The 11,843-nt window shown below is 39.6% G+C and overlaps 1 annotated feature.

Moving 5' to 3' along the window:
* Positions 301 to 1,500: an enhancer, noted in NCBI's record as "MED14-independent group 3 enhancer chr7:81107551-81108750 (GRCh37/hg19 assembly coordinates)". NCBI's record gives its function as "activates an origin of replication core promoter dependent on BRD2, BRD4, P300/CBP and CDK7 cofactors, and independent of MED14, by STARR-seq in HCT116 cells {active_cell/tissue: HCT116}" and the evidence as "EXISTENCE:reporter gene assay evidence [ECO:0000049][PMID:35650434]".

Below are 11,843 nucleotides of genomic sequence, written 5' to 3'. Positions count from 1 at the left end.
TTCTCTAAAATGTTTATTCTAGTTAGCGATTCATCTAACCTTTTTTCAAGGTTCTTAGCTTCCTTGCTTTGGGTTAGAACATGCTCCTTTAGCTCAGAGAAGTTTGTTATTATCCACCTTCCGAAGCCTACTTCTGTCACTTCGTCAAACTCATTCTCCATCCAGTTTTGTTCCCTTGCTGGCGAGGAGTTGTGCTCCTTTGGAGGAGAAGAGGTGTTCTGGTTTTTGGAATTTTCACCTTTTCTGTGCTGGTTTCTCCCCATCTTTGTGGTTTTTATCTACCTTTGGTCTTTGATGATGGTGACCTACAGACGGGGTTTTGGTGTGGATGTCCTTTTTGTTGATGTTGATGCTATTCCTTTCTGTTTGTTAGTTTTCCTTCTAACAGACCAGACCCTCAGCTGGAGATCTGTTGGAGTTTGCTGGAGGTCCACTACAGACCCTGTTTGCCTGGGTATCACCAGCGGAGGCTGCAGAACAGCAAATATTGCTGCCTGATCTTCCTCTGGAAGCTTCCTTCTTTCTGGAAGCTACTGGGAGGTGTCTCCCAGTCAGGCTACACGGGGGTCAGGGACCCACTTGAGGAGGCAGTCTGTCCATTATTGGAGCTCGAACGCTGTGCTGGGAGAACCACTACTGTCTTCAGAGCTGTCAGGCAGGGACGATTAAGTCTACAGAAGCTGTCTGCTGCCTTTTGTTCAGATATGCCCTGCCCCCATAGGTGGACTCTAGAGAGGCAGTAGGTCTTGCTGAGCTGCGCTGGGCTCCACCCAGTTCAAGCTTCCCTGCCACTTTGTTTACACTGTGAGCATAGAACTGCCTACTCAAGCCTCAGCAATGGAAAAAGCCCCTCCCCCTGCCAGGCTTCAGCTTCCCAGGTCTATCTCAGGCTGCTGCACTAGCAGCGAGCAAGGCTCTGTGGGCATGGGACCTGCGGAGCCAAGCAAGGGAATTTCCTGGTCTGCTGGTTGTGAAGCTGTGGGAGTAGCACAGTATTTGCGCAGGAGTGTACTGTTCCTCCAGGTACAGTCACTCACGGCTTCCTTTGGCTAGGAAAAGGAAATGCCCTGACCTCTTGCTCTTCCGGGGTGAGGCGACACCCCACCCTGCTTTGGCTCACCCTCTGTGGGCTGCACCCACTGTCCAACCAATCCCAGTGAGATGAACCAGGTACCTTAGTTGGAAATGCAGAAATCACCTGTCTTCTTTGTCCATCTCGCTGGGAGCTGTAGATTGAAGCTGTACCTTTCAGCCATCTTGGAAGTGAACCCTACATTTTGTTTTGTTTTGTTTTGTTTTTTGAGATGGACTCTCACACTGTTGCCCAGGATGTAGTGCAGTGGCATGACGTCAGCTCACTGCAACCTCTGCCTCCCCAGCTGAAGTGATTATCCTGCCTCAGCCTCCTGAGTAGCTGGGATTACAGGTGCCTGCCACCACGCCCAGCTAGTTTTTGTATTTTTGTAGAGACAGGGTTTCACCATGTTGCCCAGGCTGGTCTCTAACTCCTGGACTCAAGTGATCCACCCACCTCAGCCTCCCAAAGTGCTGGGATTACAAGCAGGAGCCACTGCACTCGGCCTCTGAATTACTTTTTAATAGGTAGTTAGAGGTATGCTTATTTTGTGATACTCACTTCGAAATTGGAATTGCAATTGAAATTTTGTTGTCCATTTGCCCTACATTTATCTCATGGAGCTGCAGTCAGAAGATGTGCTTTTCACATAGCAGATACTCAAGGAATGGTTGCTGATTATAAGCGGATTCAAATGACAGCGTCAGAGAAGACAGCATTTAGGAAAACCCAAAACTGTTTTCTCCCAGACTATACTGGGCTTCTATAAATATTTATTGTATTGTTGTTAACAGTAAAATAAATAAATTTGGACTTGGATGATATGAATTACTATTTTATTATAACAAATATAATTTTAAAACACAGAATATGGAAACTGATAAAAATGTCCTGTTTTACCATTTGGATATTTAAAAATCATAACGGAAAACAGAAATGTGCAAAGATTTCAGTAAATGTAAGCACATTGTTTGAAGTTTATTTATTTATTTTTATTTTTTATTTTATGAGATGGAGTCTCACTCTGTCACCAAGCTGGAGTGCAGTGGTGCGATCTCGGCTCACTGCAACCTCCACCTCCCAGGTTTAAGCGATTCTTCTGCCTCAGCCTCCTGAGTAGCTGGGACTACAGGCATGTGCCACCATGCCCAGCTAATTGTTGTATTTTTAGTAGAGATGGGGTTTCACTATGTTGGCCAGAATGGTCTTGATCTCCTGACTTTGTGATCCAACCACCTCAGCCTTGCCTCCCAAAATGCTGGGATTACAGGCGTGAGCCACTGCTCCCAGCAGAAGTTTATTTTCATTAGAAATTATGACAATGCATATTCAAGCATCAATTTGGTTCTAATATCACTTAAGATTTTACCAAGTTACAAGTAGCATTTCATGTGATGTAAGTATAATAAGTTGAATTTTCTAAAATCTTGTTACTGAGAGCTTAAATTGACACCATATAAAAAGTAATTTGATCAAGAATATGGATAACTATTAAGCAGTTATATATATAAACGATTTATAGAAGCATCATTGACAATGGCAAAAATATTGGAAACAACCAAAACCTCCAACATTACATCTATCAGTGGAATATTTTCTCACTATCTAGAAACATTCAGGGACACTTTTAAAAAGATATTAAGATATTTATGAACTAGAAAAAGTAGTTTAAAACATAAGTAACATAAAACATAATCTCAACTCTATAAAAAGAAAAAGAGTCTGAAGAGATATACTTAAACATTTTTAGTGATTATAACTAAAAGATAAAATTACTGAAAAATATTTTTGTCCACATGTCCTTATTTTCCCAGCTTTATAAAATGGACATGTGGTATTAAATTGAAACCTATACAATTTCTTGTTATTTTTTTAAATTTTATTATTATTATACTTTAAGTTTTAGGGTACATGTGTACAACGTGCAGGTTTGTTACATATGTATACATGTGCCATGTTGGTTAAAATTTCTTGTTATATGTAGGCCAAAATGTGTCAATTACTGGAAACTTCATAGGGTTCAATCTAATGTTTTATACCTACATTTTTTTAACTAAAAAAAATACCTCAATGGGAATTTTCTTTTTGATAGATGAACATAGAAGTGATTTGTCAGAATCAGAAATAAGGAATTAATATGTGAAGAATATTTTATCCAAAGCAGCAGGACCTCTGTTTTAGGAGCTAGAGTATATTTTCTGTGATGGACTGAATATTTGTGTCTCCCCACAATTCATAGTTGAAACTCTCCTCCCAATGTGATGATATTAGGAGGTAGGGCCTTTGGATGAACATTAGTATTAGATGAGATCTTGAGGGCAGACACCTCAGAAATGGTATTATGCCCACATTAGAGTCAGGAAAGAGCTTGATGTGCTCTGCTCTCTATCACATGAGGAACAAAAAGAAGCTCGTAGTCTGCAACCCAGAAAAGGGTCCTCACCCTTGACCGTGCTGGCACCAAGACTGTCTTGCGAAGACTGTAGCATTAAGTTTCTGTTTTCTGAGCAGAAAACATTCTTTGTATGAACGAGTCACTGTTCCATTTTACCTGAACAAGTCACTGTTCCATTTTACCTGAACACCGTAAAACAAATCAGTTTCTAATCCCTTATCACTGACAAAGATCCTCTCCTTGACCAAATTCGAGTCAGGTTCCTCTGAGCCCTCTTCTCAACTAGGTTTCAACCTTGGGCTCAGTCCTTGGCACACTTAATCCAGTTTTAGCAAGAATTTTGCTGGGCTAGTTTAATGAATACTTCCCATTCTCAATACCTGATAAAATTGATCATCCCCACCATCTATATCTTAAATTTAATAATTTAATTTTTAGAGTTTTTATATATCTTTCACTATATTTCTATTGAAACAACTTTTCCAAAATCCGTATTATCATCAGAGAAATGAAAGACATAATAAGAGTTATAGTACATGTACTAAGAGAAAATAATGCAATAAATTTGAATTAGTATTTAAATTTGTTATTTGCTATATTAAAAATCTAAAAGTGATTTTAAAATGTAATAATTTAACTATGTTTTTAATCAGATCAGATGATTCATATTTCTGCATGAAATCCTAAAACATTAAAACAAAATTATTATAATATTCAAATATAACTTCCTTACATAATTCTTTGCACTTTAAAATAATAAGTAGTACTAAGTTGTGTTCCATTTTTAGCACAAACCAAAGAATAACTGCTTACATCTGCCATTATTTTCTTGATGAAATAAAATAGGAAGACATTATAAAGGTAACATTCATATATTACAAAAGCATTATATGTAATCCAAAGTCAGAGTATTAAATTCAGTTATGGTTCAAGGTTTGTAATGAAATATAAAATGGAAATAATTTTTTATGATAGATTATTGTGCCAAATTAAATCTTACTAAAGCAAATATATACAAAATTGCTTTCTTGAAAGAGGAGACCAAAGCTTCATTCACTGAGCCTCTAAGGCATCTTTTAAAATATTCCAGAGCTCACTGTAACAGAACTTGCCACTTAATGAGCATTGCTTTTGTCAGCTTTGGGAGAGTTATATGCTTGAAAACACTAAAAATTTCCTCCTGGCCAGGTGGGTGTGGTGGCTCAAGCCTGTAATCCCAGCACTTTGGGAGGCAGAAGCAGGTGGATGACCTGAGGTCAGGAGTTCGAGACCAGCCTGGACAACATGGTGAAACCCTGTCTCTACTAAAAATACAAAAATTAGCCGGGCGTAGTGGCGGATGCCTGTGATCCCAGCTACTCAAGAAACTGAGGCAGGAGAATTGCTCGAACCTGGGAGGCGGAAGTTGCAGTGAGCCAAGATGGCACCATTGTACTCCAGCCTGGGTGACAGAGCAAGGCTGTCTCAAAAAAAAAAAAAAAAAAAAAAAAAAGACTTCCTCCTTCGCTTCACTTTAGTATCTCAAAGTCCCCAAATTAGTCAATCATTTGAATTAACTCACTGAATGTTTCTGTTAACATATCTCTTAGAAATTTAAGAATTTTGGAGAGGCTTTTAATGGGGACCTACCGCCACCCATATTTGGGTCTCAAGTAGAGATGAATTTAGTTCACAACTCATTGGTTCATAAAAAGTAATTATCATTCGTCTGTACTGGGCCTTTTTCTTATTTTATATTATTTCATTTCCTCCCATTGCTCATGCCTTCTCTTCTTCCTGCAATAGGGGCTCATTATAATGTGATTGATATAGGTACTTAAATTGAAAAATAAACAATGATGTTTTGTGTGTATATTTCAATTTCCATAAATGAAATAGTTATGAATCATATTCTGTTGCTATTTTCAGACTCAAAATTATTCTATTAAGAGCCATCCATATTGCTTTATGTATACCCACATTGATGCTTTAATATTGTGGCTATATAATATTCTTTCTTATGCATTCACCAAATTGTATTCACAAATGCCTAGTAATAGACAGCAACAGATCCTGCAATTAAACACACACCATACTGAATAAAGTGTCTATACATGCCTTTTAATGCATCTATCCAAGAATTTCTCTGGTGAAACCTTTTTTAGAAGAGATATTACAGGACCATGGGATATACACAACTTTAATTCAAGACTGCACTCTAGAATGTTCCCAAGTTTACACTTCATCCTCATAAACATTGGCTTAACCAGTATTGTATTCATTGCCTACATAATGTGTATCGAGTGATTTTTCATTGTTTCTTTACTTTCATTTTTCTCATTACCGGTGAAGTTGAGCACCCTAAACATACTTCTTGGCAATCCTTATTTTCTCTTCCATGAAAAATGGATTTATATTTTCATCCATATTTTTCCAATTAGGTTTTAAAATTTTTATATTGATCTTCAGTACTTCACCTTATATTCTAGATACCCATGTCGAATTAACTCGATTCTGGCAATAATCTTTAACAGTCTTTGCACATCTGTGCATTTTTTTTTTTTTTTTGAGACAGAGTCTCACTCTGTTACCTGGGCTGGAGTGCAGTGGCACAGTCTTGGCTCACTGCAACCTCCGCCTTCTGGGTTCAAGCGATTCCCGTGCCTCAGCCTCCCAGGTAACTGGGATTACAGGCACACATCACCATTCCCGGCTAATTTTTGTATTTTTTTTTTTTTTTTTTTTTTTAGTAGAGACAGGGTTTCAACATGTTTGCCAGGCTGTTCTTGAAATCCTGGCCTCAGCAATCTGCCCACCTCGGCCTTCCAAAGTGCTGGGACTACAGATGTGAGCCACCGTGCCTGGCCTGGTTCGTGGTTTCTGACATGTTTAAAAAGTACTTCCTCTTTTATTTATTTTACTTATCATTTATCTCTCATTTGATTTTGAACAATCTTGGAATAACTTTCTCAAAGGTAAGAGGTAAAGAAGCAACTTTGTCATCATATTGTTAATCAGTTTTCCCAAAGGAATTTTATCTACTGAATTTGATTTTTTATGCTGCACATGTTGTATACTAAGCTTCCATTTTTACTGCTGGTGCAGGGTCCAGGACCCCAGTGCCTGGATAGTTGTGCTTCTGGGCACATATACCCTGAGTGTTATCCTATTACCCAGTCCCCAGATCCCTACTCTTATCTCCCTTAATCCTTTTAATGGGTTGCTTGAAGATAGAAGTCGCTCAAAAACCTGTCTTAGTTGTTCTGAAGGAGAGGTTCCCTCTGAAAATCTAATCAATACTGACAGAAGAGAGAAAACTCACCCCTTTTAAAAAATCTCAGTAAATCATTTTGCCCTGCAGTGCTCCATCAATGAATCAGTGATGTGATGTACTTTACTTCTTGAAACGTTTACTTAATTTCTCAGGACAGGGAATACTGTGGTAGAACAAAAGATTAAGTGTTCAACTATTATTTTCAAATTAGATTTCTGAAAACAGTAGATTTGAAATTGTATCATTTTTTGTTTTTTGTTTTTTGTTTTTAAGATACAAGTGTTACACCTGGAAACAATAAGGCTCATACTGTAAAGCCTTAGATGAAGGGATACAGAATATGATATAAATTTCAGCACATGGAGAGCCCTGCAAGGGACTTAAGACTGACTTGTTGATCTTTGCTGTCATTGTCAATAATTACAGCAAGCAATAGATGGGCCAAAAAGCCACCCCCCAGAGACATTCCACTGCCAATCTCCCCAGTATACAAACATTACATGAAGGGGCACTGGTTATTCCAGTTCAGGATTTGCTGTTAAACTTGACTTGGATCACATAACATTGATTTGGGTAAGTAAATAGGCAGAATCACCGAAGATCTTCAGTCATGATGATCATACATGGTGTTATCCAAGGCTGATTGGGCCTCAGGAGAAACATATGGATTTGTAGCATTCGGAAAATTAAGACAAGTTTGTGCAGATCCATAGGTTTGTTTATACATAATGAGGCTCCATGTTCCAGAGCTGCTATTAGGGCATCAAGAACAGCAGAGTGGTAGAGGACAAACCATATACATATGAGTTTTTCTGTTTTCATAGCACTTGGATGCTCTGGACAAACACAGCACTGACTCAGATTGTCAAGTGTAGTTGCCTCTTGATTAACCACACTGTGGTGCTAGACCTATGGGGAAAAGGGACCATTAATTGTTCTGCTCTTTCCTGAGTCTCCTGGAGCTGAGGTGTTCCCTATGTGCCAGGGTTTTTCTTCCTCCACTACTAAAAAATCCACATGTTCCATTTCAATGGCTATACATTCAACTTTTCTCCAGTCATCCCCGATTCTCACCCAGATCTTTATCTAGAAGGGTCAGGCACATGTAGGACAAGGGCATTATATCTATTATATCTCCCAACTTGGCCTGCATGGGTCACTAAGGGAGACTCAATGCAGGAAGACGAGGTAGCTCACAAAAGTGGTCATGATATTTATTTTGTTCCAATAATCAAAATAGCTCAATTAGAATTAAGTTTGAGTGCTCAAACCCCTTTTTGTCTCAGCTTCCACCCAGAGATTTACCAACCCTAAGGGGTGGTTGTCAAGGGAATGAAGAAGGCATCAAACCCAAGTACTGTCAGTGCAGAACCTGAATCTTTAATATAGGTCTATATAACCATTCACTCCATTTGTCCTGATCATTACTCAGGAAATGGCTAAGAGGAGATGATCCATTCAAAAAGATGACTATTTCATGCCCAAACTGCCTTATTAAGTATAGGGACTTGTAGGGGAAGAGGGAGATAGAGTCAGAAATTTTTGAGCTGAATTTTGAGGAGGCTGTTTCCCCATTTGGTAATACCAGATGTCTATGGAAGGTAGGGAATGTGGAATATCTATGACATTTCTTGACTACTGGTCCATTGTTAACTGGCTTTTGTGATAAAAGACACTGTATTTTCTGACTGCAAATGGCCTGGAAACCTGAAAAGGTGACACAGATTAGTTTCAAGGGCCATAGTAGTGTGGCTGGAATTGGCCAATTGGACGAGAAGAGCAATAATGTAACTTGATAACATGTCAACAGCAATGAGTGTGGCATCATTGATAACCCTGAGAGGAGGTCAAAAGTCCAATGTAGTCAATCTGTCAGGAGCAGGTGGGGTCACTATAGGCTCTACATCCTGTGGCCTTCTTTACCACTGGACAAATGGCTATCTTTCAGCAGGAGTCAAAAGTCTGATAAGCAACAGTAACTTATCAAAACATAAAGTCTATTTTTGTGCGCAGTCTCTAATGTTGGATGAATTGTCATGTGCGGTTTAATGCTGCAGCTAGTTGGCAGTCATGGTCATCTAGGCAGTGCAGGTTTTATTCGGAGCTGGATTTCAGCCAGTCTTATCAGAGAACAGGTTATTAGCATGGGTATTTAAGCAACTCAAACATCTGATAGGCAGCTGTGGCTTATTGCCACAGTTCGCCAGTTTTCCAAGTGGCAGTGCAGTTGGGTATGCTATTGGCAATTGTCTAAGAGAGAGTCAAAATCGAACATTTTGTCTTTAAAATTATTATTTAAAAGTATTATATAGTCTTTAAAAGTATTATCTAAGGCAACGGTGATGTGATGATGGCTTTCAATTCAGCCCCTCGTTCTGAAACTTACTGCAGTTGGTCTTCCAGAGTTATTATCGGGGAAAGACTGGGGATGCCACCCAGTGGACACTATCAGCTATTAACTCAGCTGAATCATCAGGGAATCAGGTCCAAGCCTTTAGAGGAAACTCTGTAAATCAAGGCCTCCATTGAGCTTGCAGCTTTGATTCAGACAGCAGAATGAGAAATAAAATTTCCCCTAAAAGGGTAGGTGCAACCACTTCATGTAAAACCGAGATGCCACCAGGGCCAAGCCAACTATACCATTTCATTTGATCAGCAAGGCTTGCTGGTCTCTTGTCAGTCATGGAGTCTGATTGATCCACCCTAATATGGGAGGACTCAAAACTTCCAGCTTGCAGCTGCTCAGTTTCAGCAGGACAAAAACTCTCTTCCGTTTAGAAGGAATTTACTTGCTTCAGGCAGGTGGCGCCCTTGTACTGGGAAGTTGCCACTCCTAGTGTTCCCACAGCAACTGTCAGCTAAATGATCACGAAAGCTGTGATTTTCTTCTTTCCTCCTTCCTCCTGGATTCTATTCTGTTTTTGCTGGACCACATAGGGGGAGACAGGAATCACCACTCTACATTGCGCAGTACCTGCACAGAAAAATTAACTCTAGACTTTATGAGCACTTACAGTACAAGCACATAGCACATTAATTCCAATTATACATCCAATAGTGGAAACTACAACAGTACATTGAATAGCCCCAAAGGCTGCCCCCTCCCCTCCCTGAGGTCGCTTTAATTTTCCTTTTCCACTGCAATTTGCCCAAATCTATTAGTTGAGTCCAAGTACATTTTTCCTTCTCAAGCACATAGACCAAAGTGTTTAACTATACTGGTCAGGGGCTCTAGCCACAGCCACTGGGAGATTATACTATTCTGTAACACAAAAGTACAGGAATCAGGGAAGTAAGGCCACGAGGGACTAAGATGTGGGAAGAGGTCATAGAGGAAATTATTTTTCTTTCTCTGTCCTGAAGGAAATACAAGTATTTTTCCCTGAAATATTGAGGATTGTTAAGTTAAAAACATCAAGGACGCAAGAAAGCACTCTGCCTCAACCTCTGTTTGCCTGATGGCCAGACATCAATCCTTCCTTACTGTAGACAGCACTTATCAGGCCAGAGAAGGCACCAGCAGGCACCAGAAAAATCTGGAAACAGATTTACTGTCTTCCCACATTTTTTCACTTTTTAAAAGACTACAACTGCTCTTTTTTTTTTTTTTTGTCTTGTCACTCTATAGGATTTATGCCTCTTTGTTGAAATGCTATTTAATCAAGGCCCAAGCCAGTGCTTTCTGAGAGAAATACTTTTGAACTGAGGCTTCTCCAAATGATGGGTACAGCATTTGTTAATAAGCTTCTGCTTGTTTTTCATTTATTAATTTGATGTTAGTTTTCAGGAGAGTGTCTCAACTAAGAATCTAAAAAGGGAGAGAAGAGAAATGATGTTTTCTTCCCTACAGTCTGCAGCTTCAGGTTAAGCATTTTCTCCTCTCAAGTGCATCTCCAGACTTGAGTCTGGGGACCCTTTTCTGCCACTCCACCTTCCTCCCTTTATGGTTCCTCCCCAAAATTCTTGGCCCTATGGCCACCTCTATGTTTAGCATACCCTCTCGAGGAACTCAACTAGAATAGTGACTTGTGTGCCTGTATTCAACATAGCTATAAAATTGTGAGTGCTTCTTCTTCCCAATGTTCCTTAGCATACTCAGCCTTTTTTCCTGAAGCAAGAGAGGTCAGTACAAAGGAGAGAGAGGGACATGTAAGAGTGCATGGAAGGGGAAAGCAGCTTTGCTCCAGACTTGACTAGACTTAGCATTTACTTAACAGTTTTAAGGAACTGTACCCTTGGTCTCCCAGGCTCAACAGTCTTTTAATATTTTCTGTGCAATTAAAGTTCTAAGTCCAACTTGCTGAAACCATTTCCTTTAGCTATATGTCCACCTACTTCCCTGTTGTCATGAAAACATCCTTCTTCCTCCTACCTGGAAAAGCATGAGCCATTTAAGTGACATTTCAATCCCATTTCTTGCTGCTCAGATTCATTCACAGATATAAGAGCAGGGGGCTTTACTAGTATTCCTCACCCACCTCCTAGGCAAAAGTATTTATTAACTGATTCTAGGGAGTCTTATAGCTTCAAACCCAGTCCAGGTCAGCTCTTGTCTTTCCCCTCCCAGAAAATTCTGTCTGTGCCAACATTTCATGCTTGTCAAAATGGCCAGAGTCTGGGGTTTTATTCTGCTTACCAACTAAGTTAGCTTGTTACTGTGTTGTGGATGCTTGCAGAAGACACACAATTCCAGTATCAGAGACAAAAGACTTTATTTAGGCATAATGCAGCAAGTAGCAAAATCATCTTACTTGCGTTTGTTCTCCTTTTCCCTCCCACCCCCGCCTTCAGTCCCAGTGGGGCGGGGTGGAAGGGTCCAGGGAGATACTGTGCATTCAATGTGTTTTTTTATTGCAGCTGGGAATCTGAGCTTGGGAATTTACTGCTTTTATTGTAAGTAGTAGGCAATCCTACTTTTCGAGTGGATAGGTTACCTCACCATTCAAGATTGCTGGCTGCAAATTCAACCCAGAAAATGGTAAGGAATGGTCAAAGCCTTATATTTTTGGCATAACTGGCAAGAAGTAGAGGGAGCTCAGGGCCCATGGAAGATTAACATTTACTACAGATAAAATAAAATAAATGAAACATCATATTTATTTGTAAATGAAAACTAAATA

Source organism: Homo sapiens, chromosome 7 (genome assembly GCF_000001405.40).
Source record: "Homo sapiens chromosome 7, GRCh38.p14 Primary Assembly".
Classification (NCBI taxonomy): Eukaryota; Metazoa; Chordata; class Mammalia; order Primates; family Hominidae; genus Homo; species Homo sapiens.
The sequence above is the reverse complement of the archived record's forward strand: the minus strand, read 5'-3'. Positions and strand labels throughout refer to the sequence as shown.